Below are 20,757 nucleotides of genomic sequence, written 5' to 3'. Positions count from 1 at the left end.
CTCCAGTGATCAGCCTGCCTCAGCCTCCCAAAGTGGTGGGATTACAGATATGAGCCATCATGCCCGGCTTTAATTACCTCTTCAGAGGCCCTGTCTCCAAATATATTCACATTGGGGGTTAGGGTTAGGGTTTCAATACATGAATTTTGAGGGGACCACAATTCAGCCCACAGCACATATACATATGTATGTGTGTGTGTGTATTTCTATAAATAAACCAAGGACACACAACCAAGTTACATGTTTTCAAAGATACATATCCTAGATTTATATTGATATGCTAATATTATATGTTCTATGTATCCTACATATATATATAGAACATTTATATATGTACATTATATATTGTACATTAGGCATAATTTTGTGTACACGAACATCTCAGAAGCACACTCAGCAACTTTATATGGTAATATCCTCTAGGGAGGGAGATGAGATTGAGGGAGGCTGATGGGAGCTTTATGTTATTTTTTTGTTTGAAAATTTTTTACATCAAACCTTATATTCAAATACTGTGCCATACATCAAAAAGTACAAAACAGAAACTTGCCTAAGGACACACAGCCCTTCCACAGCAGAGCCTGGACCTGCGGTTGGCAAAGACCCAGTTCATTCCATTCTTTCTGGTTCATACTACCCGAGTTTACCTTTTTACCAACAGCCTCTACCCACCACCCTGGTTATTGCATATCACTCGCCTTTTCTTCATCACCAAGTATCCTGAAGTATCACACTCACCTGTCCTTCCTCATGCCCAGAGTCTAACTGTCACCCAGGCTGGAGTGCAGTGGTATGATCTCGGCTCACTGCAACCTCCATCTCCCGGGTTCAAACGATTCTGCTGCCTCAACCTCCCAAGTAGCTGGGACTACAGGCACCCACCGCCATGCCCAGCAAATTTTTGTATTTTTGTAGAGACAGGGTTTTGCCATGTTGGCCAGGCTGTTCTCGAACTCCTGACCTCAGGCAATCCGCCTGCCTCGGCCTCCCAAAGTGTTGGGATTACAGGTGTCAGCCACCTCGCCCGACCTTCACTTACTTTTCTGACCTTTATTTCCTAGCATTCTCCTAAATACACCCACTACTTGTTCTTTCAACCCTTTAATGTGCTTTTCACACTCTCTAAATGTAATGTTGTAGCTGGAATTCCAACACTTCTAGAGTTGCCAGATAAATACAAGACACCTAAAGTTGAATTTCAGATAAACAACAAATGATTTTTGGTGTATGTCTTTCCAATTTAACTGGATGGGCTGGGCATGGTGGCTCATGCCTATAATCCCAGCAATTTGGGAATCCCAGCAATTTGGGAATCCCAGACGGGCAGATTACTTGAGCTCAGAAGTTCAAGACCAGCCTGGGCAACATGGTGAAACCTCATCTCTACAAAAAATACAAAATTTAACCAGGCGTGGTCGCATACACCTGTGGTCCCAGCTACTTGGGAGGCTGAGGTGGGAGGATGGCTTGAGCCCAGGTCGAGGTTGCAGTGAGCCGTGATTGCACCACCATACTCCAGCTTGAGTGACAGAGCAAGATCCTAACTGGATGTCCACATTTTTATTTGCTAAATCTGGCAACGCTATTCCCCACACTTTGTATCCCTAATACAGTTAGCACTTTCTGTTTTACATAATTGTTACTTGTGTTCACACAAGAATTAAAAGTTCTGATCAGGCAGGCAGGATATGGGTCTTTCTTTGTATCATCCATAAGGTTGGGCACACAGTAGTAGTTTCCCAGGAAGTATTTGCTGAACTCGATGATAGAATGTTTTACAAGGATACAGGAAAATTGCTCCTCTCATTCCTTACCTCATTCCCACCTCCAGCAGTTGTTCTTGATTTTGACTAACTAGGTATTAGTTACCTAATCCAAGCCCTTTTTTACATTATAACTCCATGTACATAGACTTGTACCAGTTCAAATGGGCTAACTGAAATATAGAGTCTGGTTTGGGTAATCTAAGGGTTCTAGTCTTGGCTCTCCGATTGACTAATGGTACAGTATAAGTCTAATTTCATCTCTTCAAGCTTCAGCTTTTCATCTATAAAACAGTAACAGGAAATGCCTTATACAACACTCATGATCAAGTCAGATAATCCATGTCAAGCACTAAGCATATAGTAATGGCTCAATGTATGCTAAGTACTACAATATTGAATCTTGGGAGCTTTCCACTTATCGATTCATTAATTTGGTCAAAAAATCTTTGTTGCAACTTTTATGTGCATTAGCAGGGAACTGTGCTGGTGATGGAAATAGTGATGGGTAAAATAGGCTTATGCCCATTTTCATAGCTCTGTCTATCACAGATATAGCCAATAGTTTAAAAAAAAAAAAGAACAAATATGTAATTACAAACTGTAAAATGTTGCATGAAGGGAAATACTGGGGGGCTGTAAGAATTTATAAAAGGGGCCCTGAGATAGCTCAGGAAGAGCTTCCTTGAGAAATGATGGTTGGCATTAATTGAAAACACCATATGCCAGTGTATTCGTTTGCTAGGGCTGCCAATAACAAAGTACCACAGACTAGGTGGCCTAAACAACAGACATTTATTGTCTTAACAATTCTGGTGGCTAGAATTCCATGATCAAGGTGTGGTTACCTTGAGGTCTCTCTCCTTGGTTTGTACATGGCTGTCTTCTCCCTGTGTTTTCACAAAACGATGTAGGAAAGAAAGGCTAATCTATAATCAGAGGAACAAACGCAGCTGCCTGTTATGTAGCTCAGGTTCCATAATAACATTCTTTTAAGGCGCAAAATAACTTAAAGTTCCAACAGCTTTGATTTTGAATTACGTTCGCAGCATTAAACCATCAAAGAGTAAGAGCCAGCAGCTTTGTCTAGCATGTTTTTTGTTTTTTTTTTTTGAGACGGAGTCTCGCTCTGTCGCCCAGGCTGGAGTGCAGTGGCGGGATCTCGGCTCACTGCAAGCTCCGCCTCCCGGGTTCACGCCATTCTCCTGCCTCAGCCTCCCAAGTAGCTGGGACTACAGGCGCCCGCCACTACGCCCGGCTAATTTTTTGTATTTTTAGTAGAGACGGGGTTTCACCGTTTTAGCCGGGATGGTCTCGATCTCCTGACCTCGTGATCCGCCCGCCTCGGCCTCCCAAAGTGCTGGGATTACAGGCGTGAGCCACCGCGCTCGGCCTGTCTAGCATGTTTTAACAGCTTGACATATTTACATACTGTATCATTCTCACCCGTCTTAAGTGTACGATTTTTAGTACATGTATAGTGCAACCATCCCCACAATCCAGTTTGGAGGCATTTCCATCCCACCGAAAAGATCCCGAGTACCTGTTTGCTATCAATCCCCTGGCGGGTTCCCACTTGCAGACCCAGGTTTGCCTAATTATTTTCAGTGTTTTTGCTAAGTCGAAATGACCTTACAGATCCAAGATAACTCTCCAAAAGAAGTCAGGACTAGGATCCCAATGAATATGAATATGAAGCATATGTTCATCAGTACACCAAAGTTATGTCAAGGCTGGGTCTGTATGTGAAATTCCTTAATCCATTGCCTGAGCAAAAACACAGGTTGGCTGCTCCACATAAAACTTACTTTCTAAACGGGGCAAAAGAAGTAAGCGCGTGCCCCCATCCCCGGCACGCGTGCATCTGAGTAGGAGGTAAGCGCACGGCATGTGGCCGAATTTGATGAGTAATGGGCATCCAAGACAGGACCACGGCGCTGCTGTGTGCGCCTGCGCAGCTTCGCGAGCGCCTAGACACAAGTAGCCCAAACCCCGGCTCGAGATCCGTCTGTTCAGCTGTTGTGGCGCCGCCGTTTTGGATCTAAGCGCCTACCCGTGACACCCAGAGAACCCAGGCCTGGCAAGTAAACCCTCTACCCCCTCACTTTCTCTACCCAGCGCTCACAAGGAGCAACAAGATGACAAGACCGCGCGCCCGGGCCACCAGGGAAGCCGCTCTCTCGCTTAGCCACACCCCCTTGGTTGCTAAAATGCCTAGTCCCTGCCCCTCGGGTCGACGCCAGCAGCCACGTATCACGTTTGTACGTGTCTCGGCCTAAAAGCGGAAGTTACGCAGGGACTCGCGAGCGCTGTGGCGGCCCTGAAAGGATATAGGCCGTGGAGGGAAGGGGGCGGGCAGACGGCATAGGAAGGCGCCGGAAGTGGTCCCGCAGAGGCGGGGTGGGAGTGGGGCTCCCGAGGCAGTGCAGTTGGCTGTAGCTGGGCGCCTCGGTTAGGTGCGCTGTCAGTCCTTTCCGAGTGCCTGGCCCAGTCTCTCCCGCCTCGGCCCAACATGGACTTCAGAGAAATTCTCATGATAGCTTCCAAGGGACAAGGTGTCAACAATGTGCCGGTAAGTAGCAGCTGGGGCATCAATGTAGGGGACCCTAGTCTTCCAAGTTCGGAATGTGTGTGGCCCATGGAACTTCTGGGCAGCCGCCTATCGGCTCCGGGAGAGGAAAGACCCGGACGCCTTATTTCCTTTTCTTGGGTTTATACTCTTGGGAACTCGGGAGAAAAGAGCTTGGGACGAGACGCGGGAGCCTTCCTGTGAATGGGTTTCGCCGGCTTATTTACCCCTGCAACAGGGACTTTGCGGTTTGGGTGTTGTAGCTAGAATTGCGTGAAAGCCGTGAGTGAGCTGTGCCTGGCACGCTGTGGATTCTAGCGCTGGTAGTTTTTGGCTTCCACATAAACTTCAGCCTAGAGATTGGGAAGGAAATATGTATGTAAGGGAGTTAGGGGGTTTGGGGTCCTTGGCTTGATAGCTTTTTGGCTGGCTTCTCATCGATCTTCAAGTCAAACGTTTAGCGATTTCTTGAAAGAATTCTCTGACTCGGCCCCACCCACTCAGCCACCGAGGTGATTAAATTATCACCTCCCAGGGGATAGGTATCATCTTTTGGGAAGAGAAGTTTAGCAGATTCCACGAAATCCTTGGCCAACAGAATAGGTGAGCTAGTTTCAGCTTCTGTTTACTTGTAGCCTTCCAGATTTCAGTCTTTGTTTAAAATCTAGGTCCCATTTGGTCAGTAGATGTTTGTCAGTTCGCTTACAGTCGCAAGAGCGGTGTAAGACTTAAATGGTAAAGTGGTGGAGAGCGCCTGGTTTCTGGGGGTTATGGCTGTTTTGCATAAGCTAATCATTTCCAGATTTTCAGATGGTACCCACAGCACAGCTGTAAACCGATAAGTTGCATGGTGATGCCTGCGGTTTGAGCAGTGAGGTATAGAACTAAAACGGCTCTCAAAGTCAATTCAGCTAGAATTTATTGAGCTCCGACGAAGTGCTCTGCATTTCCTAGATATTCGTATATTGCAATATTCGTTTTTTTCTCTTCTGCAGCTTTTTTTTGTCTTCTGAGGCTAGTTCATTCTTTTATCCCTTTGAAAATATTGATCTGAAAAAGGTCTATATTTATGTTTATAAATATATGTATATATACACACACACAGCCATCCCTTATCCCAAGAACTCTGAATAACCATTCCTCTAAGCCGTGAGTCATAAGCTTTGCATGTTGAAGGTATAGACTCAAACCTTTGAAACCCAGATCAACAGATTTACTTTCTAGAAGCATCTGTAAATTTTCCAGATGAATCAATATTGGGTCTAGTAACCATTCATCTTTGCATAATTTGGTCTGTATTTCATTCTAGATCTTATTGAATTTCAGTAAAGGTCAAAGATAGTACTAGCTTTGATGCCCAGTACTGTTCTGTGGAAGAATCAGAACTAAGTCATTTCTTATTCTGAAAGCCAGTAGCTGCTGGGAGAAAAGCAGACAGATAATCCTAAAGCAGAAAATTTCAAAATATGTGTATATGTCATAATATATGCATTATCTATGATTGGAATAACAGAAGAATCAAAAAGGGGAAAAAAGTAATTTAAAATTTAATAGATGGGCGCAATGGCTCAGGCCTGTAATCCCAGCACTTTGGGAGGCCTAGGCGGGAGAATCACCTGAAGTCAGGAGTTTGAGACCAGCCTGACAAATATGATGAAACCCCATCTCTACTAAAAATACAAAAATTAGCCGGGCATGGTGGTGTGCGCCTGTAATCCCAGCTACTTGGGAGGCTGAGACAGAATTGCTTGAACCCAGGAGGCGGAGATTGCAGTGAGCTGAGATCGTGCGATTGCACTCCAGCCTGGGCAACAAGAGAAAAACTTCATTTCAAAAAAAAAAAAATCAATAGATAATATAGCCATATATTTTATGAATCATGCATTCTCTGACCTCTCCCCGCCAAAGCTAGTAAGCCTAGAAGTTTGATTTAGTTACCAGCATTATAATTCTTATCTTTTTATGTGGAATTAAAGTCACAAAAGAAACTATTGAGGAATAGGATAAGACTGTAGTTAAATTTCTTCTTCTTCTTTTTTTTTTTTTTTAAGATAGAGTCTCACTCTGTCGTCCGGGCTGGAGGCTGGAGTGCAGTGGCATGGTCTCGGCTCACTGCAGCCTCCACCTGCTGAGTTCAAGCAATTCTCCTGTCTCAGCCTCTTGAGTAACTGGGACTACAGGCACCTGTCACCACATCAAGCTAACTTTTGTATTTTTGGTAGAGACAGGGTTTCACCATGTTGGCCAGGCTGGTCTTGAACTCCTTCCTCAAGTCATTCGCCCACCTCGGCTTCCCAAAGTGCTGAAATTACAGGTGTGAGCCACCACACCCGGCCAAATTTCATGCTTTACTTGATTTGCTTTAACTTGATTCATCTAACTGTTCTATTTACTTTTTCCTTATCAGCTTAAAGTAATTTGGACACTTTCAAACATAAGGAATGTTAACACATTTCTAATATACCCAAACCCCGTATTTAGCATATTAACATTTCCCCATATTTATTCCATCTATTTTAAAAGAAATAAAGCTTTTTTTCTTTTTTTGCCATCTATTTTAAAAGAAATAAAGTGTTTGGTGGTTTTTTTTTTTTTTTTGTTATCTATTTTAAAAGAAATAAAGCTTTTTCTTTTCTTTTCTTTTTTTTGAGATGGAGTCTCTGTTGCCCAGGCTGGAGTGCAGTGGCGAAATCTTGGCTCACTGCAAGCTCCGCCTCGCAGGTTCAAGCCATTCTCCTGCCTCAGCCTCCTGAGTAGCTGGGAATACAGGGGTGCACCACCACGCCCAGTTAATTTTTTTGTATTTTTAGTAGAGATAGGGCTGGTATCAAACTCCTGGCCTCAAGTGATCAGCCCACCTCAGCCTCCCAGACTGCTGTGAGTACAGGTGTGAACCACTGAGCCAGGCCTGTCTTGAAATGTTTCTTGACTTCGATGGTAGCTTAAAAGGATACTTGCTTTCTAATAATCTGTTACCCTGTACACTATGTCTATGATTTTCACAATTATTAAAAACAAAGAGAGAGTTGGGGACTATCGTATCAATTAACAGCTTTATTTCTGGCTGGGTGCTGTGGCTCACACCTTTAATCCCAGCACTTTGGGAGGCCAAGGTGGGCAGATCACCTGAGATCAGGAGTTTGAGACCAGCCTGGCCAATGTGGTGAAACCCCGTCTCTACTAAAAATGCAAAAATTAGCCAGGCATGGTGGGGCACACCTGTAATCTCAGCTACTCAGGAGGCTGAGGCAGGAGAATGGCTTGAACTTGAGAGGCGGAGGTTGCAGTAAGACAGAGGTTGCAGTGAGTGGAGATCGTGCCACTGCACTCCAGCCGGGGTGACAGAGCGAGACTCTGTCTCAAATGAAAAGAAAAATAAAATAAAATAAAAAAAGACAGCTACATCCCTCCCTGCCCTATACACACCCTGCTGTTATAAATTTACTTGATTAATTGATCTGAGAACCACAGAGGCTTTGCAATAACTAACTAGGCTGCATCTCTCTCTATTGATTGGTTCATTTTTCCCTGTTCGCCAACTTCTTCTCCCACCTTCATTTGGAACCTATCAGAGCTAATGCTCAGAATTTCAGTCTTCAGAGTTCTTGGGTCAGACCTTTACTATGGTAAGGAAATCCAGTGACTAGCGATGATTAGACTAAAATCCAAACACCTGTACAGCCACTTCAGCCTTTCAGACTCTTTGCAGAGCTTTTTGTTGTTATTTTGAGACGAGTCTCGTTCTGTCACCAGGCTGGAGTGCAGTGGCGCTATCTCTGCTCACTGCAGCCTCCACCTTCTGGGTTCAAGCGATTCTCCTGCCTCAGCCTCCCAAGTAGCTGGGATTACAGGCGCATGCCACCACACCCAGCTAATTTTTGTATTTTTAGTAGAGATGGGGTTTCACCATGTTGGTCAGGATGGTCTCAATCTCCTGAGCTCGTGATCCACCTGCCTCGGCCTCCCAAAGTGCTGGGATTACAGGCATGAGCCACCATGCCCGGCCAGAGCTTTATTTTTATTTTTATTTTTTGAGACAGAGTCTTCCTCTGTCACCAGGCTGAAGTGCAGTGGCATGGTCTTGGCTCACTGTAACCTCCGCCTCCTGGGTTCAAGCCATTCTCTTGGCTTAGCCTTCCGAGTAGCTGGGATTACAGGCACCCACCACCACGCCCAGCTAATTTTTGTATTTTTAGTAGAGATGGGGTTTCACCATGTTGGCCAGGATGGTCTCGATCTCCTGACCTTGTGATCCACCCACCTTGACCTCCCAAAGTGCTGGGATTACAGGCGTGAGCCACCGTGCCCGGCAGAGCTTTATTTTTTAAAGCTACCTATTGTATCTGTCTTGAGAAGCTATGAGTATTTCCCTAATCATCATTTTTTTGTTTCTTAATTTTTAACAAATAGTTTTTTATGTTAAAGGTAGGATTGCATCAGGCCCAGAAATAGTAGGCACACTGTCATTTCCCAGTGGAAAACTGAATATATAATAACTGCTGATCAAGGTGATGAAACAAGTTGTCGTCACTGGCTCTGTTTATATATAAAGGAGAAAAGATATTTTTGGTAAACTTGCACTTGATTTTTCTCCCTGGGTTCCAGTAGGAAAAACAAAGTAGTTAACTTGTTTTGGTAGAATACTAGAGCTTAGAATGTGGATTCTTACAGGTTTCACATAGCTATAATTTTTTTTTTGAGACAAAGTCTCACTCTGTCGCCCAGGCTGGAATGCAGTGAGCGATCTGGGCTCACTGCAACCTCTGCCACCCGGGGTCAAGCGATTCTCCTGCCTCAGCCTCCTGAGTAGCTGGGACTGCAGCCGCACGCCACCATGCCCAGCTAACTTTTGTATTTTTAGTTAAGAGATGGGGGTTTCACCATGTTGGCCAGGCTGGTCTCGAACTCCTGGCCTCAAGTGATCTGCCTGCCTTGGCCTCACAAAGTGCTGGAATTACAGGCGCGAGCCACCACACCGGGCCATCACATAGCTATAATTGATGGCTTGTAAAGCATAAGCCAACTTATATGGTCTTTCTCCCAGTGAGACTGTGAAAAACAACCAGAAAAGCTGCTGAAGCTCTGGTATGACCTCCACTGCCACAAACCGAAAGGTAAAGGGCAAACCTTCATGTGGTACCAGGTATACCAGAATTTGGGGGTCTGCCTATAGCCCCTTAAGGATAAGAACCATAGGTAGTGAAAGTAAGAGCCCAGGACATTAACTAGGACAGCAAATTCAGATGTCTTCAGGGGCCAGGTAGATAATGTAAATTCTTGAAGTAGTCTGCATAAAAAATGATAGGTGCCAAGCTCCATGTATTTAAAAAAAGCCCACGATTTGCATAGTAGTTACATTTTCTTTTAAAGAACAGTGTGGGCCAACAAAAAGTTTTTGTAGATGTCTTTTTTCTGCAGGTAATGTTTGATCTATAATGGATTGTAACTGGATTGCTCCCCACCCTTGGATCTGTTAACCTTAATAACGAGGTCCTGGCAATATGATATTGAGCTTATTTGAGTGCAGTTTGAGGATGGCTACCTGGGAAGACGCAGACTCCACAAAGCAGACAGATAATCCTACAGCAGAAAATTTCAAAATGTGTGTATTTCAGGATGTATGCATTCTCTTATGTGCCAGATAGTTCTTCTGCCTTACTAAATAGAATATAATGTAATCCAGCCTGTGGCTTTTTTTCTTTATAAACATGATTCTCCACTGGGCTACCCCTATGGGATAGGGGAGCTGTCTTTTAAAACATTCCAGTACCACATCTTTTGATAGCAAGGTCTGATTGCAACCCCCTTTTGAAAGGTCTTGCTAGCTCAATGTTAAAAAGATCTATGATCATATGCCTAAGAGAAAGGAAAACATACATCCACATAAAAACTTGTACACAAATGTTCACAGCAGCATTATTCATAATAGCCAAATGGAGTACTCCAAAAGGGAGAGATCTGAGAATCTTTTATATAGGCAAGGTCTGGGGAAGCTTAACAGGATTTCAGTATTTTCTGTACAAGGTTAATGCATAGTTGCAGCAATTCGGTAGTAGGCAGTGTTTCTTTTTTGGGAAGGGTGTATTTAACATTCCACATTAAGGGTGTAATAGTAAAGGGGTCTCTTATCTCAGTCAGGTTTTTTTTGTTTTGGAGACAGAGTCTTGCTCTGTCGCCTGGGCTGGAGTCCAGTGATGCCACTTCAGCTCACTGCAACCTCTGCCTCCTAGGTTCAAGCAGTTCTCCTGCCTCAGACTCCCGAGTAGCTGGGACTACAGGCATGCACCACCATGCCCAGCTAATTTTTGTATTTTTTTTTTTTGAGACGGAGTCTTGCTCTGTTGCCCAGGCTGGGATGCAGTGGCATGATCTCGGCTCACTGCAAGCTCCGCCTCGCGGGCTCACGCCATTCTCCTGCCTCAGCCTCCCGAGTAGCTGGGACTATAGGCATCCGCCACCATGCCTGGCTACTTTTTTTGTATTTTTAGTAGAGACGGGGTTTCACTGTGTTAGCCAGGATGGTCTCGATCTCCTAACCTCATGATCCACCCCCCTCGGCCTCCCAAAGTGGTGGAATTACAGGCGTGAGCCACCGTGCCTGGCTAATTTTTGTATTTTTTGGTAGAGATGGGGTTTCACTATGTTGGCCAGTCTGGTCTTGGACTCCTGACCTCAAGTGATCCACCCGCCTTGGCCTCCCAAAGTGCTGGGATTACAGATGTGAGCCACCACGCCCGGTGAAGGGTTTTTTGTTGTTGTTGTTGTTTTTGGAGATGGAGTCTTGCTCTGTCACTCAGGCTGGAGTGCAATGGCATGATCTTGGCTCACTGCAACCTCTGCTACCCAGGTTTAACCCATTCTTTTGCCTCAGCCTTCCAGTCTTTGCTGGGATTACAGGCATGTGCCACCACGCCTGGCTAATTTTTTTTTTTTTTTTTTTTTGTATTTTTAGTAGAGATGGGGTTTCATCATGCTGGCCAGGCTGGTCTCGAATTCCTGACCTCAGGTGATCCACCCACCTCGGCCTCCCAAAGTGCTGGGATTATAGACATGAGCCACCATGCCTGGCCAAGGGTCTTTTATCTCAGCCATGTGGTCTGAGCCTGGTACAAAAAAATAAGGAAGTTAATTTAAAACAAAAGGTCATTAATTAATAGGTCATGCTCCAAGACTCTGTCTCCAAAGTCAACCTCCTCAGGGCTGAACAACCTTTAGAAGCCCCAAATAGACTCTCCATTTTCTTTCACAGATCTGAAGATGACTTGTCTCATGTCTGGGGCAGTGTTGGATTTCTAGCCTAGAGCAGTACCTCTCAACTAGTGTTTTAGGGAGAGGGTCTTTTAGAAACTACTGTTCACCTTTTTCCCATAGAGGTTCTGTTATTTCCCTTCCCCATCACTACCAAGATAATCTCTTTCTGAATAACAATTAACCTTTATAGTGCATACTCTGTGCCAGGCACTGTTCTAAGCACTTTATATATTAATTTAATCATCATAATAACCATATAATGAGCAGTATTTTACTAATGAGGAAACTGAGGCCCGTAACTTGCCCATGGTCACAGAGCTAACGCTAGATATGGTAGAGCAGAGAATCTAATCCAGGCAGATTAGCTCCAGAGTTCTTGCTCTTAATCATGAGCTTGTGTTGAATGAGGGGCGTGTACTGAGGATGGTATAGTGAGGAAGGTTGTTACCTACACAGCTTGAACCCATCCAGTTCCCTATCCCCAACTCCAGCCTTAGGCAGTAACTCTGTTTTTTTTTTTTGTTTGTTTGTTTTGTTTTTTAATGACATTCTTAGTATACAGTAGAGTCTGATGGGAGACAAATGTAAAGGCTGAACCAAAATCATTTGGAAACTGATAGGCAGAAGGATATTTACAGCTTGTTTAGGACAGTGCCAGCATGGTTAACAGAAGTAGAGTCTGAAGGTGAGGGAGGATAAGATAGAAGTTTGGTTGTAGACCTTTCTGAAGTACTGGCATTATCCAAGAGGCAGGTGGAAATTAGGGAAAGGAGGTTAGAACTAGAGATCCAAGTGTTGGAGTTAAATTAAAAACTAGAGATGAAAGTGGTGGAGCCAGGCATTGTGGCTCACGCCTGTAATCCCAGCTCTTTGGGAAGCTGAGGTGGGTGGATCATGAGGTCAGGCGTTCGAGACCAACCTGGCCAACGTGGTGAAACCTGTCTCTACTAAAAATACAAAAGATTACCTGGGTGTGGTGGCAGGTGCCTATAATCAGTCCCAGCTACTTGGGAGGCTGAGGCAGGAGAATTGCTTGAACCCAGGAGGTGGAGGTTGCAGTGAGCCGAGACCACGCCACTGTACTCCAGCCTGGGCAACAGAGCGAGACTCCATCTCAAAAAAAAAAAAAAAAGAAAGTGTTGGAGTTAAATTAGAAGTGACCATCATGGGCAACAAAGTGAGACCCCCCCCCCAATCTCTACAAAAAATACAAAAATTATTAATAGCCAGTTGTGGTGGTGTGTGCTTGTAGTCCCAGTTACTCGGGAAGCTAAGGTGGGAGACTCACTGGAGCCCAGGAGTTTGAGGCCACAGTGAGCCAAGGTCATGCCACTGTACTCCAGCCGCCTGGGTGACAAATCAAGCAAGACCCTATGTATTTCTAAAAAAAAAAAATGAGATGTGTTGTAGTGAGAATATTTTGGGGCTGAGTTAGGCGATCTGGATTCTAATTCAGACTCTGCTATAAACCGTGTGATTGCCAGTAAATACACAGGTGTTCTGGGCCATTTCTAACATAGAGGTTGGACTGGAGACTCCATGAGACACCTATCTGATATTATTACATTTTATAATCAGGTATGTTTTTGTAAACACAATAACAGTAAAATTTACATTTAACTCCATAGCAATTATGAATAGCATCTTTTGGGGCAGGTTATTAATTTTTATCCTCTTAGCCATCCAGCTAAGCAGTTCTAATGGAACCATTGGTTTTCCAGGCCTACTTTCTTTCTCTGACTCTGATGTTCTGAGAAAATTTTTAAAAACTGTGGTGATTATTAAAGTTAAGGATGCAGCATTCTTTGAATATTCCTAACTCCTAATTCTAACCAGTTATAAATCTCTTATGTAAAGCCATCAAGAAATTTATATTTTCTACAGTCGAAACAATATGTTATCTCCTGGGTAAAGAACAGCTTTCATGGAGGAATTGACTTTTTTTTTTCTTGAGACGGAGTCTCGCTCTGTCGCCCAGGCTGGAGTGCAATGGCGCGATCTTGGCGGACCACAACCTCTGCCTCCCGGGTTCAAGCAATTCTCCTGCCTCAGCCTCCCTAGTAGCTGGGATTACAGGCAATGCGCCATCCCGCCTGGGTAGTTTTGTATTTTTAGTAGAGATGGGGTTTCTCCATGTTGGTCAGGCTGGTGTTGAACTCCCAACCTCAGGTGATCCACCCACCTCAGCCTCCCAAAGTGCTGGGATTACAGACGTGAGCCATCACGCCTGGCCAGGGATTGACTATCGATTCCAACATAACATACAGTAGTCGGTGTACACATGTTTCTAGACTAATGTCTCCTTATTTTCTTAATCTGGCTTAGATGATACAGTTTAAATGCAAGGAACAGATATGTTTTAAAGTGGCTTAATATTTTCTAAAGCTCTTGGCTTCAGAGTTACAAATCTTGGCAAAATCTCTGATGTTGTATTTAAATGACAAGCTTCACTGTGGTGGATCATTCATTGGGGTGTAGCAGAATGACTGAGTTGGCTTGCAGTGTAATAAAATGGATATGCTTAGGATAAAAGAAACTCTTGTCCAGCTGCTTTCCATGAAGCTCAAACAATGAAGCAGCCTGGTGCCTTGACTCAGATTCAGAATTGATGGATGCATCCTGATGTGCTGCTGCTAGAGCTAAATATGACCATGTGATGCGAGGGGAAGTGCCAAATAGTTCTTCTGGGTTATTAAATAGAATATAATGTAATCCAGCCTGAAGCTTTTTTTTTTTTTTCCTCTCTTTTTAAAAATGTTTCTCCACTGGGCTGCCCCTCTGGGGAACTGTCTTTTAAAATATTCCATTACAACACATCTTTTGATACCAGGGTCTATTGCAACCCCCTTTTGAAAGGTCTTGCCTGCTCAATGAGAAAAAGATCTGTGGTCATATACCTAAGAGAAAGGAAAATGTGCATCCACATAAAAACTTGTACACAAATGTTCACAGCAGCATTATTCATAATAGCCAAAAAGTAGAGACAATCCGAATATTCAGTTGATGAATATAAAAATAATGCATGGTATATCTATACAATGGAATATTATTCAGCCACAAAAAGGAAGGAAATATTGATACATGCTACAACATGAACTTTGAAAACATGCTAAGTGAAAGAAGCCAGATACAAAAGGCCACTGTATCTGTCAGTGTTCTCCATGGAACCAGTAGGATTTATTTTAGGGAATTGATTATGGAGGCCTGACAAGTCTGAAATTTCTCGGGCAGGCCAGCAGGCTGGAAAATCAGGCAGGAGTTCATGCTGTAGTCTTGAGATAGAACTCCTTTTCTTAGAAGCCTCGGGTTTTGCTCTTATGCCTTCATTGGCATGATTGGATGAGACCCATCCACATTATGGAGGGTAGTATTCTTTACCTAAAGTCAACTGATTGTAGATATTATATCTACAAAATACCTTCACAGTAATGCTTAATGTTTGATTAAATAACTGGGTATTATAGCCTAGTCCAATTGACATATAAAATTAACCATCATAGCTACATATTATACGATTTCATTTGTATGAAATGTCCAGAATTGGTAAATGCATAGAGACAGAATGTAGATTAGCGTTTGCCAGGGGCTGAGGGGAGACAAGAACATGGAGTCATTGCTAAAGCTAAGAGATTTTTTGGGAGAATGATTAAAATTTTCTGGAATCAGATGGTGGTGTTGGTTATACTCTGTGGATGCAGTTGACCCTTCAACAACATAGGTTTGAACTGTGTGGACCCACTTATACATGGATTTTTTTCCAATAAGTTTTTTTTTAAATTTGTGATAACTTAAAAAACCTGCAGATGAACATAGCCTAGAAATATTGAAAAGAATTAAGAAAAAAGTATATCAGGATTCATAAAATGTATGTTAATTGACTATGTTATCAGTAAGGCTTCTGGTCAACTTTGAGTTGTTAGTAAAGTTTTTAGGCAGTCAAAAGTTATACATGGAATGTTGTTGTTGTTGTTGTTGTTGTTGTTGTTGTTGTTGTTTTGAGACAGAGTTTTGCTCTTGTTGCCCAGGCTGGAGTACAGTGGCGCGATCTCAGCTCACTGCAACCTCCACCTCCTGGGTTCAAGCTATTCTCCTGCCTTAGCCTCCTGAGTAGCTGGGATTATAGGTGCGTGCCATCACGCCCAGCTGATTTTTTGTATTTTTAGTAGAGATGGATTTCATCATGTTCATCAGGCTGGTCTCGAACTCCTGACCTCAGGTGATCTGCCCGCCTCAGCCTCCCGAAGTGCAGGGATTACAAGGGTGAGCCACCGCGCCCAGCCGGAATTTTTTCTTACTGCACAGGGTGGTGGCATCCCATGCTACCATGTTTAAAGGTCAACTGTATATCAAAAACCATTTAATAGTATACATTAAATGGATGAATTTTGTGGTATATGAATTTTATCTCAAAGATTTTATTTTTGAGACAGAGTCTTGCTCTGTCACCCAGGCTGGGGTACAGTGGCACAATCATGGCTCACTGCAGCCTCCACCTCCTGGGCGGAAGCCATCCTCCCACATCAGCTGTGTAGCTGGGACTACAGGCGTGCGTCACAATGTCCGGCTAATTTTTGTATGTTTTGTAGAGATGGGGGTCTCATTATGCTGCCCAGGCTAGTTTCGAACTCCTGGGCTCAATCAGTCCTTCCACCTCAGCCTTCCAAAGTGTTGGGATTACAGACATGAGCCACCATACCTGGCCATTCAAAGATATTTCCAAAAATATAAAGATGATCTCGAGTGACCCAGTCTTTTTTTTAGGTTGTGAACCTAAACTTTGTCTAAGAGTGTTTTAATATCTTATTGGTATTTGTGCTGTTGAGGTTTTTTTGGTTTTGGTTTTGGTTTTTTTTTTTTTTTTTTGAGATAGGGTCTTACTCTGTTGTTCAGGCTGGAGTGCCATAGCACAACCATGGCTCACTGCAGCCTCGACCTCCCTGGCTGAGACAATCCTCCTGCCTCAGCCTCCCGAGTAGCTGGGACCACAGGCATATGCCACTGTGCCCAGCTAATTTTTAAATTGTTTGGAGAGACAGGGTCTCCCTATATTGCCCACGCTGGTCTCGAACTCCTGTGCTCAAGCGATCCTCTCGAATTAGCCTCCCAAAGTGCTGGAATTACAGGTGTGAGCCACTATGCCTGACCTGAGTACATTTTTAAGCTACAGAGGATATAAGAAATTAATTGATTATGGCTCAGTTCATATAAACAAGATTAAGCCTCATTAAAGCAGTGCTGACCTTGCCTTACTGCTAGCTTTTTAAGTTGTTGAAGATCAACAAAATAGACATTGTATAGATTTATTGAGTTTCTGCTGCATCATAAGGACAGTACAACAAGTACTGCAAAGTTGTTGGGTTAAATGTGAGACCAGCTTAAGTATCCTTAATGATTAGAGGTGTTTAAAAAGGCAGAATTTGAAGTTGACATATAAATTGATGAGAATAGGTGTATACTTTGAAAAAAAGCTAAAAGTAGCCTTTGTTATTCTTTTCAAAGCAAATCTGAGTTCCTGAACACCACCTTCCTTGTTTTTATGCCTTTCCTGTATTTTTGTTCCCTAAGTCAGTGTTTCTTTTCTTTTCTTTTCTTTTCTTTTCTTTTCTTTTCTTTTCTTTTCTTTTCTGTTTTTTGAGACAGAGTTTCACTCTTCTCACCCAGGGTAGAGTACAATCACCCAGGCTGAAGTGCAGTGGTGCGATCTCGGCTCACTGCAACCCTTCACCTCCTGGGTTCAAGCAATTACTGCCTCAGCCTCCAGAGTAGCTGGGATTACAGGTGCCCACCACCACGCCTGGCTAATTTTTGTATTTTGATGGGGTTTCACCAAGTTGACCAGGCTGGTCTCGAACTCCTGACCTCAGGTGATCCACCCGCTTCAGCCTCCCAAAGTGCTGGCATTACAGGCATGAGCCACCACGCCCGGCCTCAGTCAGTGTTTTTAAAGAGCAGCACATATAGGGCCTGGATATAAATGGTATACAAATATACCATTTAAAATATTTCTACATTTTTTTACAAATAAAATATTTTTTATTTTAATAGTATTTTTTTTTTTTTTTTGAGATAGAGTCTTGCTCTGTTGCCCAGGCTGGAGTGCAGTGGCGCGATCTCGGCTCACTGCAAGCTCCGCCTCCCAGGTTCACGCCATTCTCCTGCCTCAGCCTTCCGAGTAGCTGGGACTACAGGTGCCCACCACCACGCTTGGCTAAGTTTTTTGTATTTTTAGTAGAGACAGGGTTTCACTGTGTTGGCCAGGATGGTCTCAATCTCCTGACCTCATGATCCGCCCGCCTTGGCCTCCCAAAGTGCTGGGATTAAAGGTGTCAGCCACCGTGCCCGGCTTAATAGTATGTATTTTTATATGAATTGGAAAAATATAACTAGTTGTTCAAGTCAGTCATTTTGTGGATATTATTGCTGAGGTAAAGCTATAATAACGGCTCATGATGTTTTTGTTTTTGTTTTTTTGAGACCGAGTCTCACTCTGTTGCCCAGGCTGGAATGCAGTGGCGTGATCTTGGCTCACTACAACCTCTGCCTCCTGGGTTCAAGTGATTCTCGTGCTTCAGCCTCCCAACTGGCTGGGACTACAGGCGTGAGCCACCATGCCTGGGTAATTTTTGTACTTTTAGTGGAGACAGGGTTTCACCAGAGTTCGAGGCCAGGCTGGTCTCGAACCCCTGACCTCAAGTGATCTGCCCGCCTTGTCCTCCCAAAGTGCTGGGATTACAGGCGTGAACCACCGCACCTGGCCAACTCTGTATGTTTTTTTAAATTAGTAAGTAATGGTAGGGGTAGTATACCACAAAGGCAAAAATCATAAAGGTAGTATGCAAATGACTGAAGCTTACTGAACACTGCATTAAACTATGCCCCATTGACACTGATGTTTTCCCTTTTGGATACCAGTATTCAGTCAAGAGCAGCTTTTCGGTTTGTCATATCCCACTTTCTATCTCTTGCAGTCCCAGGTTAAGATGAAAGATATCTATCCCAAAATCATGTTAGATAGTGCTCAATGCTGGGTTATTTGGACAGCAAACCAGTCCTGTTTAAAATAAGTAATGCTAATATATGTATTTGCATTTTTCTTGGGGAAAACCTTGCATGGGGCTTTGATTTGTATGGGGCTTTGTAACTCTATGAGCTATATAATGGACAGGGACAGGAAATTTTTGTTTTTTGTTTATTGAGACGGAGTCTTGCTCTGTCACCAGGCTGGAGTGCAGTGGCGCAATTTTGGCTCACTGCAGCCTCCGACTCCCTGGTTCAAGCAATTCTCTTGCCTCATCCTCCCAAGTAGCTGGGCTTACAGGCAGGCACCACCACGCCCAGCTAATTTTTGTATTTTTAGTAGAGATGCAGTTTTACCATGTTGGCCAGGATGGTCTCGATCTCCTGACCTTGTGATCCGCCTGCCTCAGCCTCCCAAAGTTCTGGGATTACAGGTGTAAGTCACTGCACCCAGCCTTTTTTTTTTTTTTTTTTTTAAAGAGATGAGTTCTCACCATGTTGTCCAGGCTGGCGTCTTAACTCCTGGGCTCAAGCTGTCCTCCCGCCTCAGCCTCCTAAAGTGCTAGGATTACAGGCTTGAGCCACTGCGCCTGGCCAGGAAAATCTTAAGTGTTAGTGAAAAAAAATCCACCTTCTTCTGCTTCCAAATCCCTTAATGGGATGGAGTGGAGTGAGTGTGTGCCTCTGCTTATGAGTTTTTTGTATGTCTTCATTTGAATCATATTCATGGTGCCCTTTCCACAATGAAAATGTAAGCTCCTTGTGATTAATACCTATGTTTGTGGTTCTTTTCTTGTAAACAAGGGCAATTTTATATATATCTAGTTAGGTTAGCAGTATTACTTCTCCTTTCTCCTCTCCCTTTCTTTCTCCCTTTTCTCCTTTAAATATTGAGCCCCTATCCACTATGGAAAGAGTCTAAAATTAAATTTACAAAGATATGGACTTTAAAGGATCTCACTATGGCCTAGCCAAGGTGACTGGGAAAGAAATCTGGATGCTGTCTTGGGACTTCTCTCTATTAGGGATATGTCACTTCTCAGCATTGCTATCATGCAAGATTTTCAGGTTGAATTAGAGCCTGCTTCCTTGGCCAGCTGCTTTGTTGGCAGACTAATTTAGTTGAAACTTCCAGCCTGTTTCAAGATACGTCGTATTTGGCAGCCTTATAGTAAGCACATATCTTTTGGTTTTCCTCCAAGAATTTCATACATATTTGGGAATACTTTTTTGGTTCCTAAGTTGTTCCTAAGTTGTCTCAATTTGTTCTTGGACATGTTTCTTTTTCTGCTAGCCACAGCAACAGGTACGTTAGATGAGAATGCATCTGCCTAACAAAACAAAAAAAGGAGGATACTTTAAAAATCTTATTTCCTGGATTTAATGTGGAATGGTCGTAGAGGTGAATCATCCCTGGTCTGAATTTATTTTAGCTCTATGTTCGTCATATTTCTCTCATAATAGGTACTTATAAAGTGGAAATATTTTTCCTTTTATAGTTCAAATTAACATTACTTGAGTTTAGTAATTTCTTGATGCAGTTATATAAAAACTGAGGTCCAGAGACTTCATCTGTGCCAGGATAATGTAAGCTTTTTTTGGGTGTTATAGGAACCTGTCTAAAAAGGAGGTTGTGAGGCAAATTAACATTTAGTGAACATAAGAGCTACAGTTAAAGGTTGCTGGGAATTGGGCCTTTATTGCATAGATTTTTTGAAATGCTTTTTTGCTGTGGTTTGCCCCAGCCTTTGTGTGTGGTCAAAGTAAAACCTCAGTGTTTCCGTGTTCTAAGCAAAATAAAACATGTAGCTATGAGTCTCTACTAGGAAATCATCTGGAGTAGTCAGGAGAGAAAATAGTTGTGAGGAGTAGTTTTTTCTGTTCGTTTGAAAAGTTGGACTTTGAAATGCTTCTTTCTAAGGCAGGCTATTTTTAAACTCAGAATTTTATACATTTACTTACTTACTTACTTACTTATAGATTGATGGATTGAGACGGAGTTTTGCTCTGTTGTCCAGCCTGGAGTGCAGTGGCGCAATCTCGGCTCACTGCAACCTCTGCCTCCTGGGTTCAAGCCATTCTCCTGCCTCAGCCTCCTAAGCAGCTGGGATTACGGATGTGCGCCACCATGCCCGGCTAATTTTTGTATTTTTAGTA

At 43.3% G+C, this 20,757-nt stretch overlaps 1 protein-coding gene and 1 long non-coding RNA gene across 2 annotated transcripts in view, besides 2 other annotated features; one reads left to right on the top strand and one right to left on the bottom strand.

Moving 5' to 3' along the window:
* Positions 1-2,539: 2,539 nt before the first annotated feature.
* Positions 2,540-4,184, bottom strand: LOC105376578 (uncharacterized). The gene is made up of 2 exons (XR_931097.3): positions 3,572-4,184; positions 2,540-2,653 (listed from the first exon to the last, which is right to left on the bottom strand). It is a non-coding gene; the product is annotated as an uncharacterized LOC105376578 (long non-coding RNA).
* Positions 3,701-3,970: an enhancer, noted in NCBI's record as "active region_4507". NCBI's record gives its function as "activates an Ori minimal core promoter by ATAC-STARR-seq in GM12878 lymphoblastoid cells {active_cell/tissue: GM12878}" and the evidence as "EXISTENCE:reporter gene assay evidence [ECO:0000049][PMID:35858748]".
* A 6-nt stretch (positions 4,185-4,190) lies between the features above and the next one.
* The window catches only part of SPTY2D1 (SPT2 chromatin protein domain containing 1), a 27,940-nt gene continuing 11,373 nt past the window's right edge, over positions 4,191-20,757 (top strand). Inside the window, exon 1 of the mRNA NM_194285.3 lies at positions 4,191-4,335. Coding sequence (NP_919261.2) covers positions 4,276-4,335 — 60 coding nt within the window. The 5' untranslated portion in view covers positions 4,191-4,275. The remainder of the gene's footprint in view (positions 4,336-20,757) is intronic.
* Positions 5,027-5,206: a silencer, noted in NCBI's record as "silent region_3192". NCBI's record gives its function as "represses an Ori minimal core promoter by ATAC-STARR-seq in GM12878 lymphoblastoid cells {active_cell/tissue: GM12878}" and the evidence as "EXISTENCE:reporter gene assay evidence [ECO:0000049][PMID:35858748]".

This window comes from Homo sapiens, chromosome 11, assembly GCF_000001405.40.
Source record: "Homo sapiens chromosome 11, GRCh38.p14 Primary Assembly".
Taxonomy (NCBI): Eukaryota; Metazoa; Chordata; class Mammalia; order Primates; family Hominidae; genus Homo; species Homo sapiens.
Note: the sequence above shows the minus strand (reverse complement) of the source record. Positions and strands in the feature narration are given on the sequence as shown.